General features: G+C 45.1%; 1 long non-coding RNA gene across 1 annotated transcript in view, besides 1 other annotated feature; it reads left to right on the top strand.

The window, feature by feature from the left end:
• LOC107985792 (uncharacterized) overlaps window positions 1-22,296 on the top strand; it is a 180,825-nt gene that overhangs the window by 57,370 nt on the left and 101,159 nt on the right. The window lies entirely within an intron of this gene.
• Window positions 13,808-14,102: an enhancer, noted in NCBI's record as "tiled region #10936; HepG2 Activating DNase matched - State 8:EnhW". NCBI's record gives its function as "activates a minimal TATA promoter and a strong SV40 promoter by Sharpr-MPRA in HepG2 cells {active_cell/tissue: HepG2}" and the evidence as "EXISTENCE:reporter gene assay evidence [ECO:0000049][PMID:27701403]".

The raw sequence follows: 22,296 nt of genomic DNA, 5'->3' as shown, positions 1-22,296 counted from the left end.
CATTCAGTTAACCAGTTACATTCATACAGTGCCTCACTTTTCAAAATTTGTTCATATGCATTATCTGTTTGCTACCTACCTACCCATCACCTGATTGGACACATGTTATCTGTGCATAACCTGTTTGAGACCAAAGTAATTTTTTTTGTTCATTCTCCTGCTGGACTTCAGATGTGGCCATTGCCACCTGGGACTAGCTCTGAGGACCCACTGGTCATTACTGCTGCCGCCCTCATATTTGGAGAATCCAGCCCACCAGCAGATAGAGGAGACAGCTGGGAAGGTTTCCTGGTGCTCTGGAAGCTCACCCTATTGACCTTCCTGGATGTCTAGAGAAGGGAGAATATGGTGCACCAAGGCATTCAGAATTTTTCAGGATAGAGGGACTCTTTTGTGCTTACAGGACTCTCCCTAGTGCTTATCCTCAATGTCCCCCCCTTGTGACCTGCTTTCTATGTGCAGCAAAGCCAGCCTTCTCATGATTCCCTGGGTATGTCCTGCATTTACCCACTTCTGAGGCTTTGTTCAAACTCATCTCTGTGCCTTAAATATCCTTCTCTTACGTTCATTTTCCAAGTCCTTTCTCCCAAGTCACATCAAATTCCTGTGCTCCTTCCCCAACCCAGAAGCCTTTCCTGAAGCTCACATGAGGGTTGATTCTGTCCTTTTTCCTGCAACACATTGTTGATGTTCTCTGTGGGTTCTCCATGGTCAGCATCTGCTTGGATCATGTCATCTGTGATGGTGCCTGTCTCTCTTACTGGTCTATGAGCTCTCAGAATGCAGAGATACAGCTTCATTCATTTCTGTTATCCCTGTGGGCACTCAGTGAATATCTGTTAAATGGAATTAAATTGTGAATTATCACTCGTAGGTGAATTTTAAAGGATGTGTGATCTAGCATGTCTCTCTCTCTCTCTCTCTCTCTCTCTCTATATATATATATATATATATATATATATATATATATACACACACACACACACACAAATTAATATAAAGGTGGGACTTGAACCCTCATATGTGTTAAACTCTGCTGGGGTATTTCATGACCTGTGTGAATCCATAGAAAATTCAGGTGTGTAAATTCTTTTAATTCATTGCTGAGCCCCATGAATCATTGTCTTTTGTGAAATTAGAGGGCCAGCTGCGTACATCTTGATTGGAAAAAAAGTGGGAAAGTTGGTAAACTGGCTAATACCCTCTACAGCCACTTTTTTTTTTTTTTTTTTTTTTTGCCAAGTAAACAAAAAGCTAACTAATTGGGGAAGTAGAGGCCAGATTGGGGAGAGTAAGCCCAGGTGTTCATAATTCTGGGTGGGTAAGGGTCCTTGATATCACAGAGGGGAAAGTCATATATTCAGCCAAGGCCTGGGGCTGGTGATAAGTGGTTCTCAGCAGACCAACTGGGGATTTGGGGAGTTTAACTCAAGCACACAATATGACAGCTTAGGAATGAGCCAGGGCATGGTTTTGAGCATTGTGATGTTTAGGATGAGCTGTATGTCAAAGATGATACCTTCTTCTTTTGCTAGGGGTAGGCGGTGGGTTCTGGGTGGATCTGCCGTCCAAATACAGAAGGGGTCATAGATGTGGTGACAACAGCCTCCATGATTACTTTTGCACCCTGTCATGCTTGGCACCCTGCTTGGGAGTGAGGCCTTGAAGGCAGAGTGGCTGGCAATCAGCCAGTGTACGTGGCTTAGGCTCTAACAGGGTTAGGCTCTGCAATTTTGCTTGCTTGTCGCTCTTGATCATTTTTCTCTTCTGCCTTTTATTTTTCCCCCAGACCTTTTGGTACCCAATGATTTTTGATTAATTTATTTACCATTGTTGGGTGATTGATGTTGTTTTGTGCTGGTACTTTGTAACTTTCCAATTCTTCTAGTTGTCAAGGTGACAGCCCCCTGATGATGAATTAGACCCTGTCCCTTGCCCTTTTTATTCTCCCTGTGTGCCAAGGCTCTTGGTTTTCAGCAAATATAAATATTTCTAAATGCAGACTTAATGACTGGAGTATACAACAAAATCCAGAAAGATCTATGACACTTTCATACTTCTTTACTTTTACACTGAAGTTCAATACATTGTGTTTTTTCTCTATCTGTTCTACTTTAGATTTGGGGAATCCACTTCCCTTTCGGGAATCCTCTAAGCTATTTTCCTGCTCCTCTGGCGTCTTCTCCTAGGCATAGTTTTCCTTTCTTACTTTCTTATCTCCTGTTGTCTCTCTGAATTAGGTGAACTCACATTCCTCTACATAATGCATAAGCATGGGATGGTGGTGAGAAAAGATACTTTTATTTGTTAAGTCCTTATTTGCCTCACACAATGAGAGGTACTTTTCTATTAAGGTTATAAATATTTATTGAGGACCTATTATGAGGCGGGAAAACCCCAAGAACCTTTGCACAAGGTAGTCATGTTAATCTCCATTTTATAGGCAAGGGAAGTGAGGCTCTGGGAGGGTAATCAATATGTTTTAATTCATACTAGTAGGAAATAGTAGAGCAGGGATTTGAGCTCAGTCGGTCTGGTGTTAGCAATTTGCATTGTTTTCCATGACACCGTTCTGAAGGTGACCAGGGATGGATGAAGGAACTCCTAGAGCCTCAGAATTTGGAAGAAACCATAAACTTTCTCTACAAGGGTGGTTCTCAAACTGGTAATTAGATGCATGCTTGATCAACTACATAATAATCACAAGGAATGCTCATTAAAATAGAGATTCCTGGGCCTTTCCACAATTGTTAAGTCTGGTTTGGCCCAGAACTTTTTTTTTTTGAGATGGATTCTTGCTCTGTTGCCAGGATGGAGTGCAGTGGCGCAATCTCAGCTCACTGCAACCTCTGTCTCCCGGGTTCAAGAGATTCTCCTGCCTCAGCCACCCATGTAGTTGGGACTACAGGCATGCGCCACCATGCCCAGCTAATTTTTGTATTTTTAGTGGAGATAGGGTTTCACAGTGTTGGCCAGGATGGTCTCGATCTCTTGACCTCGTGATCCACCTGCCTTGGCCTCCCAAAGTGCTGGGATTACAGGCGTGAGCCACCACGCCCAGCCAGAACTTTTAGTTTTAAAACATTGCCTATGTTATTCTGATTCTCAACCAGGTGAGTGAACCAGTGCAATAAGCCAACTATTATCTAGAGCAACACTTTTCTCGACACCTTCATGAGAGATGTTCATCTTGCTTCCGGGGTAAGGAGCACAGCCTATGTTGTAGCTTCCAGTAGTGGGCAGCCCTTAATAATTTTGGAAAATTCTTTCTCACATTGACCTATCACCAGTTTCTCTGTAACCATAGTATGTGATTCTTATAATGCAAATCATAGGCACTACTGATTGTGCACTCACTGTGTGCAGACTCGTGCTAAATACTTTAGCTCTATTTTACCACTCAAGTGCCTCAGCAACTCTCTGAGGTTGGTATTATCATCATTCGTATTTTGCAGATGAGATCATTTCATCCTGGAGATACAAATGATGTGTGTTTCTTTCATCTAGTCTCTATAAGCTCTTCAGATGTTTGCAGGTAACATCCTTCCCAATCTCTCTGGCTGATAAAATGAAGTAGCAATAATTCACTATGACCAAAAATTCACCAGTTGCTGATTTTTTCCAAGGCAGGATGCTAACTTTGCAGAGATGAAGGAGATCCCCCTTTTTAACAATCTACAATTGGGGGGCAGGGGGGACAGAGAGCATCAGGATAAATAACTAATGCATTTGGGGGTTAATACCTAGGTGATGGGTTGATAGGAGCAGCAAACCACCAGAGCATACATTTACCTTTGTAACAAACCTGCACGTCCTGCACATGTATCCAGAACTTAAAATGAAATAACATTTTAAAAAATATGAAACAAAAACCATCTACAATTGAGTGAGGGAGACCCAGGTAAACTTGGACTCAGTTTTGTGTGTGAGCCTTGCCTCTTTAAGTGGACTATGAGTCTTTGTGGGCAGAGCCTCCAGATTCTCCCATTTTCTTCCCTACAGTAGGAGCGTTTGAATGCATGATGGGGACTTAGTAAAGACACATTGTCCTGGATTGATTTGGGAATATGTCATCAAGCAAACTCTTTTTTGGCTTTCGTGTTTCCTAGGTGAGTCAAGTGATTGGACAGAGGGTATGAGGCTCTTCCTGGATTCCTAAAGCCTAGGCCTTTGAGAGGGCTCATGAATTTCCTTGGAGTCCCTGCATCTGTGATGTGAGGAATGTCTCCCTGGGAGATACTAGCTGCCCACAGTTTCCTAAGCAGGAAGTAACATATCACAATAGATAAAATGCAGGATTTATAAGCAAAACCATGTGAGTATCCTATCTACATCATTGACTTTCTCCATGGTCTTGAATCTGTCTTTATTCTATGCCTTCACTGTTGTCATCTGCCAAATGGGAATACCAATTCTTTATCAGTTCTTAAGGATATGCAGAAGGAAGTATTAGTTATTATTAATGTATTTTAAACTACTTGATGACACTAGCTGCATGCATATAGATCCTTCTTGTTTTAAACAAGAGATGCTAAACAAAACCAAGAAATATTAAATTATACATTTACAGAAGAGATAAATTATAGAGGTAGTTATTATTTAAATTGCAGAAATATTTCTCATTTTCAGCCCAGGGTTCCTTTACAAAGCAATCTGTCTTGTGCTTTTAAAAAAAGTAATTCAATTTACAAAAATTTGATTTGCATACAACTTTTTAGAAACATTTATCATGTAAAGTGAGACATCATCCGACTAAATTAGAGAATTTACCAATATGTCTTGGCTTAGGATAAATATCACTTCCTCCAAGGATGGGAATATTGGCAAATTGAATCTCGCTTCTCCCCTTCTCAAACTGAGACTGTCTAAGCCCAGGTTTGAAGCATCTGGTCTGAGAATTAGTAGCCATGATGGAAATACTTGGATTCATGATCTAGATCTGCCAATAAATCACTCATGACCTCAGCGAAGTCAGCTTCCCAAGGCCTCAGTTTTCTCATCTGGACAATGAGATTATTGGAGTTTATGTTCCTTCCAGCTTTAAGGTTGTTCAATAGTACTCATTGCTAAAAGAAGTGATCTGAAATTACAAAGGGCAAGACCTGGCATCCTGTCAATGTGTAATAAATCGATACATCATTCGCTGAATAAAATTATGATGTTCATTTATTTCCAACCAATTCTCCAAGTTGGAGATGCTCCAAGTTTATGATAAAGAAAACAACATGAGTTCAGAAAACCCTTTTTCTTATTCTTCGCTGACTTGATCTCTCTTGACGATTTCTTGCATCCTTAAGTGTGGTGAAAAGAAGATTGGTTCTGAGCAAATATTGGGGTCCCTCTGTCGTAAAGGAAAGAGTCCTGCAAACTGAAATGCTGAGTTAATCCTAGATCACTACTGTGCCTTTTACATTTCAACTGATTCAATTGCAGGTGATAGCTGCAAGTAGCTAAGAGATACAGAGACATGGTGGCAGCTCATTCTCCTCTCCTCTTCCCCAGTTTCCCCACCCAGGCCAGCGCCTGCCTTTGCATTTGCTGCTGCTGGCCAGTGTGCCAGCCTCCTGTCAGCCTCAGTCGTCTGTGCCTCCCTTCCAAGCCATGAATCATCAGAGGTGCTGTCGCTTCTCCAGCTTTGCATTCCTGGCAGAGGTGTTGTTTCTTCCTAAAAGTGGAGGGGAGGGAGTTGCTAAGGAACACCATTAACATGCTGACAGCACAACAATCTCAGAGAGTTTTGGCCTCAGCCGTTTGACTCTAATCAGGAAATCATTTTTAGAAAGATTTGTCAGTGTAAGAAAACAAGCTCCTGAACTAAATTAGGATCTGGATTATTTTTCCCTCCTCTCTCGATCTGCAGTGCAAGGCAGAGTGGTGAGCCATCACGGTTTTGTGTGTGGTGAATTTGTTTCCACTGCACATTTTAATTCGGAGCTCCTGAAGGTGTCTGTGTTTGTAAGGACTGTGTTTTTGGAGCTGCTCCCTCGGAGGTTTGGTGCTTGTTTCTCCTTCCCTCAAACTGGTTGGCTTTTTTGGCAAGACCGCCTAGGCTTCAGGATTCTTTAGTCTAATTTTCTTCTCCTTTTTCTTTTTTTTTCACCCCAGTAATGAATTCACGGCATGTCTCTGGGAAATTAAGGTAATCCATTATACTGTTGTCTCCCTATCTTTGAAGCAGGGATAATAGTATTTAACCCACCTTTGCAGTATACTGAGTGGCCTGTCAGGGTTTCTTCTTTAGAAGGACAGCTTGAAAACATTTTAATAAATGCTCCTTAACTGCATGCTTTAAAAATACATGGGATCAGGTGGCAAACAGCTCAGTAATAACTAGTTCAGGGAACCAGACTAGCCATGTATCACTCTCTGCTACTTCCATTTTCTCCTCTTCCTCTCCCTTTGGGGAGAGGACATTTCTCCTCCCCATTTCTTCGGGGACATGCTGTCTCCATTTGGGGTTTCAGTCTTTGGGGATAAGCTAGAATTTTGTTAGTTACAGACCAGTCCCTGCTGCCCCTGCAAATCCAAACATATTTAAGCTGCAGGAGCAAGTGAGTTTCATGTCCTGTAATGCCTCCAACAGACAGCACTTAAGGATGGAGACCTAAATGCCAAGCTCAGTGGTGTTGCACAGATGAAGTGTGGGACTGGACTCGTGTTCTCCATGATATGCCTGAGGTTTTGTTTCCAATACAACTAGGGACCTAATCATACTTAGGGATGTCCACTTGTGCATGTCAGTGCTTTACTCACAATCACTCTTCATTTCATGAACCTCAGGCCTGAGACTGGAGTGTCATTCCTGAAGAACAGGGTAGAGCATGCTTTCTAACTTTATCTTCGTATCTCCTTTTCTATGAAGATAAAGGGGTGGGAGTGCACAGACTTTCCATGGCCTGAGGAAAATGCTACCCAGAGTGCAGTGTGAACCCATCCTAGGGATGAGCAAATTCAAGGCTAAGCCCTTGTGTGATCTGCAGGACTGGCTGCTGAAAGGGATCCAGTTGTGAATGAAGGCTTTAGATGTGACTCTTATCTGCACTCAGAGACCCCAGTATTCAGCCATTAGAGATTCATTCCTTCAGGTGTGGGGATCTTTGGGAATTTTCACTTCGGCTCTGAGAAAAAGATTCTCCTGGGGTTTGTGTGGATCCTTCGGGCTCCTCTCATTGGACAGTCGTATGTTGAAAAATGCCCCTCCAACCCTCTTCAGACAGAGACTTCTGAATATAGACTTTATCTATAAGAGGACCTATGACCCAAATAAAAATCCAAGTAAACCTGAATTTTCTCATTTCTCCAACTTATACGAGTTGAGTTGATGATTTAGACAAATTGAGAAAAGTTGAGTTTAGATGAGTTCCCGATGAAAAAAATAGGTGATGCAGGAATTGCTCCTGCCCAACCTCAGAACGACCACATGTGCAGGATCCAGGGACAGGTCAAGGCTGACGTTCCCAGGAAGAACAATGATTGACGTGTTTCACTCTGAACTCCTGGGATACGTACTCCAGAGAACCTACCAGTAACTGAGCTCTTGAACAAAACTATGGAGCTGTTGAATAAGGGCTTCTCTCGTTGCTACGTAAGGTTAGGGGACTAGATCTAGAGATTAGTTAGCTCAGTGGATTTGTGTGTATGCACACATGTATGTATTTAAGCAACAGAAACCTTTCCCTGCCCATTTATCTTATGTGGAATGCCTACATATTAAACAGATAAAAGTAGGGCCATCTCACTGAAGTGGAGCAGGGGGTAGAGAACTAAAGTCTCACCATGTGGCCCTCCCTTGCCTGTCCATCCCCACATGATCTTCTCCCTGCAGCTGCTCCCAGGGCATTTCTGTGGAATCCTAGGGCTAAACACACTTGCCACGCTTTACCCTTGCACTTCACAGATGAAGTCACTGAGGCTCCGAGAACTACTTTAGCTTGCATTGCACGGTACACATAGGAAATGATCAACAAATAAATCAAACACATCCATTTTTTTAACTGTGAGGTGAAGAGTTACACTAAAAGAGCCAGAAATGTGCTGTGAACCTAGGTTTTTGCCTTCAGTGGAAAGGAAAGGGATTTTTGGTCTCCTCTCAATTTTCCCTGCTTCCAGGAGCCCACTCACTTCCTTCTGGGCTGTCACTGCTGTTTACACAGTGTAGCTGGGACTGAGATGAACCCACAGGAAGGGACTTTCCTTTGGTGCTAATGCAGGAAGGAACATGGCATCGATCTATCTGCAATTATAAGCTCAATGTGTTTCCCTTGAATTTTTAGACAAACCAAAGGTACTTTGCAAGCGCAGTAGAGCTTCCAATTAGGCATTTAAGTTCCCCATTTCTATTTCCCTAATGACTTGACTTGCTCTTTTGTTTTATGAAATGAAAATAGCTTTATTTGGGCATGAGAATGCAGCTGATTGCATGCTTAATGTGCTTTTGCAACAAGTTTCTGTTTCTAGTATAATGCAATGGACAGAATAATACATTTCCATGCTTTTTTTTTTTTCCTACATATTCATGGTCATTTGCTCCAGCTCCATCCCATGCTGAGGGTGGTGCAGTCTAGGTAGGAATGTACAGAGGGCTGGTGTTTTAACGCTCCAGAAGGAAGGCCATCCTTGAAGTGAAGGGAACTGGCCCCAGGGCCATTTTTTGTGGGGGAGGATATAAGGTTATGACTTATTAATATGGTTTGGATCTGTGTCCCCATCCAAATCTCATGTTGAATTATAATTGCTAGTGTTGAGGGAGGGACCTGATGAGAGGTGACTGGATCATGGAGGCAGATTTTCCCCTTGCTGCTCTCATGATAGTGAGTTCTCACGAGATTTGGTTGTTTAAAAGCGTGTAGCACTTCCCCCTTTGCTCTCTGTCTCCTGCCACTATGGTAGACGTGTTTGCTTTCCTTTTGCCCTTTCACCATGACTGTAAGTTTCCTGAGGCCTCCCAGCCATGCTTCCTGTGCAGCCTGTGGAACTGTGAGTCATTTAAACCTCTTTTCTTCATAAATTACCCAGTCTCAGGGAGTTTTTTTTTTTTTTTTTATAGCAGTATGAGAATGGACTAACACACTTTATCAAGTTCTGAATGGTAGGAATCAGGGATGGTCCTGGAGAAAAATCACTCAGAAGAGTGAAAACAGATGTGGAGGACAAGAAGAGGGCACTGAAAGACATCAGCTGTGTTTTAAGAAAGCAATAGCAGGAATAAAGAACCTTTCTAGATCAAGCTCTGTGAAGGTATTAGGGTTGAGTTAAGAAGGTTTTTCTTCATTGGAGGAATAGACCTGAAAGTAAAAGCTGTACCCATTTCCAACTTTATCTGTAGCTTTGAACACTGCACAGAGTCAACTCTAGTTTCCGGAAGGCCAAAGGTCTTTCATTCTTTGGCTTTTTGGTTTGCAGAAAACCTTGCATCATCTGTGGCCCTTAAATATTTCATATACTTGGGAAGCACTTTGGAAAGGCACTCTAGAAGCTCTCCAGTCTTCTGTCTACCCAAATCGTCCCCTTCCTTCCAGCCCTGCACAAGCAGAGAAGCTTTCTGGGATGTGGCAGCCAGTGCTCTGCGCGCCTAACACTGTCATTCTGCACCACGTCATCCACACTGTCTGGCCACATCATGTCTAAAAACATATCCTTTTCTTTTCTTCTCTGGTCCTCAAGGGTGAACAGCTGGGCACAGGCTGGCGTCCTAGGAGGCCTGTCACATGCCTGACAGGAAGTGGAAGCATGATATTGGGAAAGCTGGAGCCAACACAGCCCTTCTGGCCATCCTAGTGGGCAGTGGCAGGTTGAGAATGCCCTCAGGTTTTCTGTTGCTTCTGCCTGGGTGGGGCATCAAGATTTTCACATGGCTTGTTAAATGCAGAGCTCTCCTTGGAGAGGACTGCGGTTGTGCCCTTGTTGTCTGGGTGATTTGCAGAGTAGGGCATAATCTATCTCTGCTGTGGTCTGCAGCTGCTCTTGGCTTTCTTGTCTAAGGTGCCCTTGATTAGACCTGAGATTATAGAGGACCTTGGCCACTGCTGCAAGGCAGATGTGGCTAAAAAATAGAAAAAGGAAAGGAAATCTCACATGCTTTGGCCTCTTCTTATTTCTGGGAACACCCTGAGCCTTCCTCAAAGCGCATCCCGGTGCTGGCTGGCCTGCTGATGGGAAGGCCTGCTTTACAAGTCTGAAGGAGACCCCGAGGTCATTGTGTCCATTCCCCTGCCTTCAGGCAGGATTAGAGATAAGCTGCCTCTGCCAGAAGATAATCTCTTCTACTTGTAAAAGCTTCCAGAGCAGACCGGAATCTCTCTAGAGACCATTCATTGCAACTTTTAACAACTTTCACCATCAGGAATTTCTCCCCCATAGCTATCCTAAATCCCTTATACTGGGGATTAAGCTCCTTTTCTTATTCTATCCTCAGTAGCCACTGCCAAGACTTAGCCTGCACTGCCTAAGAACTCTTCTGATACCTGAAGATTGCATGAAATCCTGCCTGCCTGTCTTCCCTGATGAATAATCCCAGCTTCCTTTTCTCCCAGGCCCTGCAGCCCAGCCTGCTTGTTACCTGTGAGGCCGCCCTCAGATTCCCTCTAAGTGTGAATTCCCCTGGTGGGGAGCCTAGACCAAGCACAGGAGTCTAGTACATTTCTGGCCCATCTTAGGTATATTGAGAATCTTCTTGGAGCCCATGGTGTGGACAGCATCTTCCTGTTCATGCACTTGAAAGGGGTTTGTGTGTTAGTGACGGTCCTATTCATGGGCCGTGGTCACCCTTTACCCCACCAGAATACTAAATTGTTTTTCTTTACTCTTCTTAGATGTTCAGGGCAAATTGTATCATCTTCCCCACAAATGTCACTGCATCCTTTAATGTCCACCAAATACTGACCACTGTCACCACCAGAAATAAGGATGAGGCAGAATGATGACAGTTCTGAATGCCTGTGGCTCTTTTAGAAGGTTTGGACAAAAGCAAGCAACCTGCATTTACAGAGCCAGCAGCCTGGTGCCACATCTGATTTAGGCAGAATCACCTTCTTGGTCTGGTTGCTTTTTCTTTGTTTCCTCTTCTCTGTCCTCTCTGACCTTCTGATCTTTCTGTGCTCTTTTTGGGGGTGCCAGAGCCCTCATACTGTGCCCCTCCTACCTCAACAGCACTGGTGAGTCCTATATGCCCCTCCCCGAGCACACTTTGCCCCATGCCTACCCCAACCCAGACTAACTCCCATTTGCTGCTTTCTGCGGATCTCAATTCCAAACCACCAAGCAAGTCCTGAGTGACATGCACAGCCAGAATGTGCTCCCTCTGTACTAGGTGGCGACAAAGACAGGTGAGATGGCCAACCTCCTCAAGGGGAATGTAGTTGAGACAGGGACTGAAGACTCAGGCATGGCAAATTCTAAGCAGCAAATATAATTTGATCTACTTTGCCATAGAAGAAAATAGATGTCCAAAGGCAGTCCACCCACAAAGGCTAAATGAGTTAGGCAGGCATTCAGTGCAGTGGACTACAGGCTGGGTATCAGAGGGAGCTTCCTGGAGGAGATTGGCTTGGGTGCAAGCTGGGCCTTGGGCACAGTTGGGTATAGGGTGGGCCTTCAGTGGAAGAGACAGAGGCTCTTGATTGGCTCAGGGTTCCTTTTGTGCTCCTCCAGCACCTCGATCTTTCCAACTCTCTCCATCTCTAGTTTCTGGAAGGAATTCTCTTCCTTTTCATTCCATTAATAAATAAAAATATTTAATAAGCATCTTCTTTTTTTTTTTTTTTTGAGACGGAGTCTTGCTCTGTCACCCAGGCTGTAGTGCAGTGGCGTGATCTTGGCTCCCTGCAAGCTCCGCCTCCTGGCTTCACGCCATTCTCCTGCTTCAGCCTCCCGAGTAGCTGGGACTACAGGTGCCCACCACCACGCCTGGCTAATTTTTTGTATTTTTAGTAGAGACGGGGTTTCACCATGTTAGCCAGGATGGGCTCGATCTCCTGACCTCGTGATCCACCCGCCTCGGCCTCCCAAAGTGCTGGGATTACAGGCGTGAGCCACTGCGCCTGGCCTAATAAGCATCTTCTAAGTGCTAGAAGTATCCCAGTCCAGAGGCTTCCTGAAATGTGCTGTGGCACACTAGGGGGACTGTGACTGGATTCAGGTATGCAGGACTTTGGTTCTCTCAGTTCCTGGGCTGGAAGAGCAGAATCTGCTTGGGTTGGTGGGGCTCCTGGGCTTTGATCATCTTTAGTTGCTGAGCAGTCACATTGGTTGACCACACTGCACTCTGTAGTACAATCATTTTCTGCATGTACTGTATGTGGTTGCAGGTAGTATACCAGGTCTCGGGATGCAGAGATAACAAGACAGGCAAATACTCCAGTGGGGGTACGGTAGGCAGAATTCTAAGATAGCCCCCAAGATTCCCACCCGCTGGTGAGCATGCCTTGTGTAACCCTCCCATCCCTTGGGTGTGGAGGTGAGCTGTGAATATGATCGGACAGTCACTGCCATGTTTAGGTTATGTTACATGCCACGGTTGACTTTAAAGGTGATTCTGCTGGGTGTGCCTGACATAATCAGGTGATCCCTTCAGAGGGCGTGAGCTTTTCTGGGTGAGAGATATTCAGAGTGTGAGAGGGATTTGATGTGGAGAAGAGTCTTCCATTTCCAACCTTGAAGTTGGAGGGGCCGTGTGGCAGGGAATGTGGGTGGCCTCCAGGAGCTGAGGGCAGACCCAGGCTGACTGCCTCCAAGGAAATGGGAGCCTTAATCCCACCACCACAAGGAACTGAATTCTGCCACAGCCATGTGAGCTTGGAAGAGAAGCCCAAGTGGTAGATGAGAATATAGCCACTTGATGCCCTGATTGCAGCCTTGTGAAATCCTGAGCCAAGAACTCAGCCACTCTGTGTCCAGACTCTAACCTAGAGAACTGTGACCTGGTAAATGGGTATTGTTCTAAGTTGCTGAGTGTGTGGTCACTTGTTTTGCAGCAATAGAAAATTAATACATGGGGAATATAGAAAAAAGTAGTCATGAAAGATTAGAACAGTGGTAAGAATTTTGCAGAGGATTTAAACCCAGGAATGTAAGATAGAGTGGGCACTGTGACTTCTTTAGAAGGGGTGGTCATGTGAGGCATTGGGGAGGTGTCAGGAAGGACCCAGCCTGGCGATGATCAGGGGAAAGAGCAGTCCAGGCCCTGAAGCTGCCCCAAGCCTGGTGTTTTCCGGGTACAAAAAGCAGAATAGCATGGCTGGAGTGTCTAGAGAGGCAGAAACCAAGTCAGATAGGGATTTTTTTAGAGTGAGCATGAATTTTGGATTTATTTTCAATGTAGAGGAAGCCAAGGAGGATGGTAAGCAGGGGAGGGACACATCTGCACAACCTGATGTATGCTTTAAAAGATTCCTGCAGACCCTGGCTGGAGCTTGGGTTGCAGCTGGGGAGTGTGGGAGCAGGGAATTTGATGAGAAGGACATTGCATTGTCCAAGTGAGCCCTGCTGGGCTCTGGGGCTGGGAAGGTGGAGGAGAGATGAGCAATGTTGACTTAAGTGGTTTTCCCTTTCCCCTTTCTTCTCTTTATTTCTTTTTTGTAACCCAATTCTGTTCTCCCCTGCTTTTCTCCTTATACATTTGCACACCCTCATGTTTTCCTTTAAGGGCATAGGACAGCCTCTGACCCTAGTCATGGTACATTCTCCCACGGGCTCAAGGCTGAGCAGATGGAATGGGTGTATGGGATCTGGAAAAACATAGGGCAGAGGAGTGAGAACTTTCCTCAGCGCCTGGTTCCTGTGGGCAGCTCTGTGGGGCACAGCCCAGGCTTAGTCAGGCCCTGGGCATGGGGAGATCTGTTCATACTCTGCTGGGAGTTTGTCCTTTGTACCTCAGTGTTAGGCCTCCCCAGAGGGACTTGAGTATAGGAATTGAAACTTCTGCATCTGTCTACCTGGTGCCCGGCCCATTCCGCCTGTACTTTGAACATGGGAGGTACTTGGTAAATGTTTGACAATAGATAATGGCAAAATCTAGTGTTGATAGCGCTGACTCTGGCCAGAATGCCATATGCCAACTACCATGTGCCAATTTGCCATTCATCTGTCCCTTCAATTATTCAATTCTTACTCCATAAATATTTCTTTGGTGTCGACTATGTGCCCCACTTTGTACTAGAGGCTGTGCTTACCCTATGCTACGGACCAAATGTTTGTGTCTTCCCCATCTAAATTCATATGTTGAAACCCTTACCCTCAACTGGACAGTATTAGGAGATGGAGCCTTTGGGAGGTAGTTAGGTCATGAGGGTGGAGACCTCATGAATGGCATTAGTGCTCTTATAAGAGATGAGAGTGCTTGCCTCCTCTCTGTCTGCTCTTTGCCATGTGAGGACACAATGAGAAGATGGCCATCTGCAAACCCAGAAGCAGGCCCTCCCCAGACACTGGACCTGCCAGCACCCTGATTTTGGACTTCTCGGCTCTAAAACTATAACAGATAAATGTCTGTTGTTTAAGTCACCCAGTCCATGGTATCTTACATAAGCAGCCCTAGCTGACTGAGACACCGTATCAGTCTAATGGTGGATCTTTTCTTTGAGGAACATGCATTCTTTTTAAAAAGTTTTGAAAACTTTTTAAAAACTATTTTTATAGATTCAGGGGGTCCATGTGCAGGCTTGTTACATGGATATATTGCATAGTGCAGGCTTGTTATATGGATATATTGCATAGTGCAGGCTTGTTATATGGATATATTGCATAGTGCAGGCTTGTTACATGGATATATTGCTTAGTAGTAGGCATTGGGCTTCTAGTGTACCCACCACCTGAATATTAAACATTGCGCCCAATAGGTAATTTTTCAACCCTCATCTCCCTCCCACCTGCCCCCTTTTAGAATCCCCAGTGTCTAGTATTTTGAGGAATGTATTCTTAAAGGGAAGACAGATTTTAAAGAAAGCACAGAAACAGTGAATCCAAGAAAACAATAACAAATGGAGGTAAACATAAAGGAAATAAACAAGGAAACTAAGTGCTTGGACCTGGAGACTCCCAGAAGGACTAACTCCAAGTTTTGAAGGTATAATTTAATAAACAAACAAATGTACGAATTGATAATTTCCTTTCCCCTGGATTTGCTGTATTGTGCTCAATTTCTCTTCTCTGAGTCTATTTCTCCTGGGAAGAGGACTGTGAGTGTGGGCAGATATTCAAGGAAGGGGTTTAAGGAGAGGGTAGCAATTTCCAGTTTGCATTTTAGAGACACCTGGCTGCAGTGGGGGTGGGGTGGGCTGCATATTAGGACAGAGACTATTCCAGTGTTAGAATGTGAGGGAGAAAAAGATGGATTTGAAGGACATTTAGGAGACATAGGGCATGGAGGTTTGCTGGTTAAGGAAGAAGGAAGCTAAAGGTCAAGGGTCAAGAACCTTTTCTAGGTCTCTCTGATTTGGGCATCTGGCTGGCTGGAAATGCTAATTTACTATGAGACATTAAGGATAAAGAGCTAAGGGCCGTTTGCAGTGGCTCAAGCCTGTAATGTCAGCACTTTAAAAGGCTGAGGCAGGCAGTTCACTTGAGCCCAGGAGCTCAAGACCAGCCTGGACAACATGGCAAGACCCATTTCTACAAAAATACAAAACTTAGCTGGGTGTGGTGGTGTGATCTGTAGTTCCAGCAACTCAGGAGGCTGAGATGGGAGGATTGCCTGAGCCCAGGGATGCTGAGGCTACCGTGAGCCAAGATTGCGTCACTGCACTGCAGCCTGGGTGACAGAATGTGACTCTGTCTCAAAAAAAAAAAAAAAAAAGCAAATGGGTAGGGGAGCATTGTGAGAATTTTAGTTTTGGGTCGGTTTTGTTTTGCTGCAGGCTCTTGTGCATTAGGAAGTTTGTTAACACCTGTGATGTGCTTAGGAACAAGATCGGGGCTGGAGATGCCAGTGAAGAGGCTGTGACACATAGACACAGTAAGGCAGGAAAGTGAATGAGTAGAAAGGAGAGCTGAGGATTTACCACTGAAAACCACATTTAAAGATGGGAAAAAGAAAGGAGATGGCAGAGCAAAAAGTACAATGTTCAGGAGAGGAAATAGTTAAGGGAAAAGTGAATTGCCTTGGGCAGGGGGACACGTGGATCTGGAACGCAGGTGATGCTGTTCAGGTAAAGCAGGAGGACATGGCTTCCCTCAGAGTGGCCCAGGTAGGTTTGTTTACATGCGGGAGGGAAGAGGAGAAATGCCCATCTGACGCTTTCTATTTTCTCTGTAGGTAGGAGGTGAGGTAATCTGTTCATTACGACTCTTCTCATTTTTTTTTAAGAAGTGAAACTCTAGCACAATAAAATACTCCCAGGAAGGAGGCTGCCACGCTAGAGGGGTTGCACATGTGGGAGAGGAGGTGAAGCAGTGGAGTGGGCTGTGGGAAGAGGAGGCCATCTCAGCCATCTTTTCAGAGGAGAGGGTGGGTAGAGATTCAGGTGGTGCATGCATGTGTGTTATATGTGTATTGTGTGTATATGTTGTGTGTTGTCTGCGTGTGTTGTGTGTATGTGTAAGCAAGGGACTCAGGAGTTTGCGTTTGCTGCCTGCTACATGTATGTGACATTGGAGGTACGGATCTCCTGGGAATGAAGAAGCAGGTGGTGGGAAAAAGAGATTGGTGAGTGGAGAATGCTTGCTGTCGCCTTGTGGAGCAGGAAGGAACGAGCTGGCCAGGGGACTTTCTGGTAGCACTGAGCAGGTGTCTGCACATGGGCCACAGAGCTGCAGGAGCAATTTCAGACCACAGTCCTTCCGAGTCTAGAACCAAGCAGGCCAAGACCGTTAAAGCCTTGGCCTCTAGAGCACCTTCTTTCTTCCAGGCCTCCTAGAAGGGAAAGGGAAGTGGCCAGCTGCTCTGGGAAGGAGACCACCCCATGAGCTTGTAAAATAAGCATGTGCAATTCCCTCTTTCTGTCCGCCTCATGGTGTTACTTGTCTTACCACCTGCCTAGTCCTCCTCCCCAAATCTGTTCCATACATAATTAATGACTGCAACAGCGGGTTCTGTTCATGTAATTGAAGACACCTCTTGGCAGCTTTGAAACTCTCGTGTCGTTCTTGGCTTCACAAGCAAAGCTGCTCCCCTTGTGTCTACAAGTGTGGCTCCAGACCGTTCACATCTGCGCATCTTCAAATTAGGATACATGAGTGATTGTGGCCACCAGGAATGTCTCAGCTGTTAACCCTCAGCAGTGTGCAGAAGGAAAGTCTGCTGATGTGGAATCTGGGGCAGGAGATGACCGGTAGGGTGGGAGGAAAGTAAAAGGATGGTAAAGGGCCAGATCAAATACAAAACACTCCACTACACATGGCAGAAGTATGTTGTCTTAGGTCCCTAGAAGCAGAGCTTGAGGAGGAGGTTCTTAGGAAAGTGACTTACTGAGGGAGTACTCTCGGGGAGTGAGGGAGAGAGGATAGGGCGGGGGAAGAAAGCTAGGGAAGGATGTGATCTCAGCCACACACCAGCATTCCCTGGTTCCACCATGAGCCCTGGAGTACAAATTGCATCCCAGCGTTGGACTCTCCCCGCCTGGCTTTTCTTAGAGACACTGTTTGGAATTTCCCCTGATGTCTCCACTTGGACCAAAGTAAGTCTCCCAAGAGAAAACCAACAGCTTCCAGTACTATGTGCACTTACTATTTATCATTTACTGAAGTCATTCATTCATTCATTCATTCATTCATTCATTTATTCAACAATACATATTATGATTGGATCTTCCCATGACCTTTGTATTTCTGGGTATTTGAAGAGACATTTTCTGTAAATTCTCAACTAGTGACTGAAAGCCAAAGGTTTTTGTGCTTCCTGAGTGCCAAGAAACCTCTGTTTTATTTTTGAGTATCCACTGGCCCTAGCTCGTCAGTGCCTCCAGACATATGCACCCCATTGAAATAAGTTTACGAATATTAGCAGGGTGGAAAACAAAGAGATCAGGAGAGCGTTGGCCACCTCAGGAAGGGGGAGAAGAAAGGAAAGGGTGAAAAAGTAAGAGAACAAAATCTCTGTGCAGGCTTCCCAAGCTTCCCACTGCTGTTCATGGACCACATTCAGGAGGAGAAAAGAGAGGAGACGAACTTTGTGAATGGATCCCACCCATCCAGCGTGGGTGATGGCAAATTCAGGCTCTGGATTGGCCCATCGAAGTCCAGACCACCCTGGAAGCTTGTTACTATGGAAGCTCCCACTCAACGCAAACAGGCTGTTTTCAGGATTTGGAAATCATTGTTTCACTTGGGCACGGCTTCTAAACTCATCACTGCACTTTGGATGATGGCAGATGTCACTACCCCATCTGTAAAATCGAGGCATCTAGTCACTTGATCTTTAAGCTGCTTTCCAGGGTGGAGAGCCTCTGTCTTCAGGACTCCCAACTCAAATGATTTGGAACAATTAATCAAGGCCTGCAGGGACCTATCTGCTGGCCTGTCAGGAAGCTCCTTCTGCATTTTCAGTCTTTGTCAACCCGTTGGATAGAGGGGTGACTGTATGCGGCCTTGGTTTTGGGGGAACTGACCAATGTTGAGAGAAACTGAAACTGTGTTGGAATCAAGACGTATGAACCACAAAAGGCTGGAAAAAGGTCTAAAACCTGAAAGATAAAATGCTGCATTCTTAGCTAAAAGTTAATAATTGGCTGGGTAGAGTGACTCATGCCTATAATCCCGGCACTTTGGGAGGCCGAGGCTGGCAGATCACTTGAGGTCAGGAGTTTAAGGCCAGCCTGGCCAACATGGTGAAACCCTGTCTCTACTAAAAACACAAAAATTAGCTGGGCATGGTGGTGTGTAGGTTGCAGTGAGCCAAGATGGCATCCCTGCATTCCAGCCTTGGTAGCAGAGCAAGACTCCTTCTCAAAAAAAAAAAAAAAAGCTAATAATTGCACAAATATGGGACAAGTAAACTACTTAGCCTATGAACAGTTTAAGTGAAAAGAGTTAGGAGTTTTAGTTCAGAATATAGTTACTTACAAGTTTAATAAATATGTGTGGGGTCTCAGGCACTGATCCAGAAGCTAGGGGCTAGGAACACAGCAGTGAATAACATGACATCATCCTCATACTGCTTGTATTCTACTATCATGATGTGATCCAATCCACAGTCCACAATACGCCATACAAATCAGTAGCTGTATGAGCTGGCAGTAAGAGGTGAGAGGAGAAGATAAAGCAGGGCAATGGGAACTGGGATGATGAGGTGCTGTGAGAGATGGGGGAGTCAGGGAAGACTTCTAGGAGCAAGTGTTTATACCATTAGCTGTTTGACATGGCTGCTCAAAAGGACTGAGATCCTAGGTCCTATGACTAATTAGTCTCATTTATTAGAACAACCTGCTTAGATGTCTCTACCTACCTGACTTCCTCTGGCAGCAGGCCCAGCCCCACAGGCCAGTTGAGGCTTTCAGGAAATTACCAAGCCAGCCTCTCTGACCTTGGCTTTAGGTCAGTCAGTGTGCATTTTTCTGTCTCTTGTGAGCTGTTGTCCATCGTAGGACCCCCATCACTGACCACACCCAACACCGCCACCACTCACCAACTGTGATCACCCTCGAATGCTTGGGGCTGGCTGGGTTTCCTCCAGCCCCCATGTGAGGCCCACCCGCAGTGCCCACCTGGCAACCCTCACTCACCCAACCGGATCTATCCCACTCTTTCCTTTCTTTCAGGTCCTCTGCTGGCATTGACTGCAAATAAGATTCAAAGGGAACATTTTCTGTTTTACTTTTGTTCATCTTCTTAACTTTGCACAGTGTGTGGCATAAATGCTAATTTTTCTAGGTGGGAGAAATTTTTCTCCCAAACTTCTTGCAATTTTATTAATAATGTAGCAAATGAGACAACATATTCTGAGGGTTTCGTCAATCCCAAGGAGGCGGTCTGGGCCTCTGAGCACCCGTGTTCTTCCTCTGGGTGACTCCAGTGCTCTCTCTCCAGCAGGTAGCTGCAGCACTGAAGAGCAGAGGGCAAGGGGAATTATGCATGAGCAGAGAGAGGAGACGCTGACCTTCTGTGTTTAAAGGTTAAAATGATTTCTTGGGAAATGGAACAAACTCACTAATCAGAGGCTGTTCTGAATTTTTCTGCAAAAATTAGACCCTGTGGCTCTCTTCACGTGCTCTGTTTGTGAGTATATATGTACATAGATCCAACAACTAAGTCAAGTTCAATCTCAATTTATTCAACATCTACTATGTTCCCAGTCCTGGGATGAGTTAGGCTAAAGAGAACACAAGGAAATAGATCAAAACCCTTGGTCATTGATAACTCCAATAACCAGAACACACAACCAGCCAGTGTTCACTTCACACTGCTTAAAAGCGATAAGGTAGTTATTCTTACTACAGGGATTTAATACAAGGCAAATGGGATCAGGGCATGTCATGGAGTCAATCCCCTTTCATAATCATGTGCTGGTGGGGAAGCAAAGCTCAGAGTGGAAGTCATGGGCATCATAGGATCTTAGCCTTTAGTCTGCATTGAAGAGGGGCAAGGGAATGGCTTAGGCCACAAAAGTCATCATTCATTCATTCATCCATTCATTCAGTAAACATGTGTGGAGTATGTTCTCTGTGTCCAGCATTCTAGTGGGTGCTTGAAGATTAATAAGTTAATGCAGCTTCTTCCTTCTAAAATATAAGCCCAATAAAGATAGAGACTTTTTCTATTTTATTCTCCACTATATTTCCAGGACTTAGGGCAGTATCTAGTATTTAGTAGAAACATAATGTTGTTTGATAAATGAATGAATGAACGAGTTCATAATCCAGGGGAAGGTAGACAGGAAAATAAATGTCATACATGTATTGCAGTTCTCTCTCTGTGTGTGTGTGTGTGTGTGTGTGTGTGTGCGCGTGCGTGCGTGCATGTGCACACAGTGGGGGCATAGAGAGAGCTTAGTTTTTCCTTCTCAAGTGGAAATAGGATATGAAAAAAGACTTCAGAGGCATAGCAGGCAGGATTCTTAGTATCAAACAACAGAAATTAACTTGGCTAGATTAAGAAGAAAAATATGAATTTATTAAAATACCGAGAGATCACAGAATCTCTAGGAGTGCAGAAGCCCCAGGCTCGGTGCTATGGATGCATGAACCATGTTGAAAATTGCACCTCAGACTGTGCAGTCTAGAGGAGGTAGTGTTGCCTTTGCTGGACACAGCAATCAGGGCTTTCACCACTGAAACCACAGTGCTGGGCCCTGGAAATACCCCTAGAGTTTGACATCACCGCCTCCGCACACACCAGAATGGGTTCTGGGCTGTGCTTCTTTCTCCATGCTTCTAGCCTCAGATTCAGAATCTGACTTGGGTTTATCTGACTGGAGAAACTTAGGTCACTTTAGGCAACATGCACCTTGCAACAGAGGCTGGGATCATGAATATCTGGTGGTTGTTCTCTTGCCAAAAATCTTGTGAGGTGAAGAACTTGTGAAAAATGGAGTGGCATCCAAAGCTGTTAGGTGGCCGAAGAGAAAGAGAAATAATTGTCACAATAGGATAGATGATTCTAGTTGGCAGGAGGTAAAGTTGGAGACATGGTGGGGGCAGATCATGCAGAGCTGAAAGGTTCAGATTCTTAACCATAAACATTTGGGAGCCACCTATGGGTTTTGGGCAGGGGAGTGACTTGATTAGATTTGCATTTTAGAGTGATGACCCTGAAGGCAGAGTGAGGAGGCTGGGTGCGAAGGCCTGGGGCTGGAGGCAGGATGACTGGCTGTTGGGGAAGAGGGAACAGAAGGAGATGGTTCTAGTATGAGCTGATGAGGGCCTGAAGTAGGCAGCGGCAATGGAGGTGGAGGGGATGGGGCAGTAGGAGGGTGGTCATGGGGAGGAAGCCATGGGACTTGTGAAGGAGAAGCTGGCAGGAATGTCCCCAAGGTTTCTGGCCTGGGTGGATGGGGAGGGTGATGATGGCTGTCATTGAGAGAGGCAGTGAGGAAAGGGGTCTAGTAGAGAGTGAGACTGAAGATGCAGGTGACAGAATGCCTGGAAGGGAATGTTCTTAGCGGAGAGGGGATCTGAAAGCAGAGGGGAGGGTTGGCCTTTTCCTCAGAGGCCAGAGAGAAGAAGATGAAGCAAGGTGTCTTTGTCAATGCATTTTGAGACACGGGTTCTTAGGGAGTGCATGCCCAAAGGACTCACATTTTCCAAGTTCCTTCCACCCCAGCCCAGCCTCCCTCCACCATCTGTGTGGACAGCCTCCCTTTCTTCTTCCTCTAGCTCAAGGGTCAGCAAACTTTCTTAAAGGGCCAGGTGGAACGTATTTTTGGCTTCG

This window comes from Homo sapiens, chromosome 2, assembly GCF_000001405.40.
Source record: "Homo sapiens chromosome 2, GRCh38.p14 Primary Assembly".
Classification (NCBI taxonomy): Eukaryota; Metazoa; Chordata; class Mammalia; order Primates; family Hominidae; genus Homo; species Homo sapiens.
The sequence above is the reverse complement of the archived record's forward strand: the minus strand, read 5'-3'. Positions and strand labels throughout refer to the sequence as shown.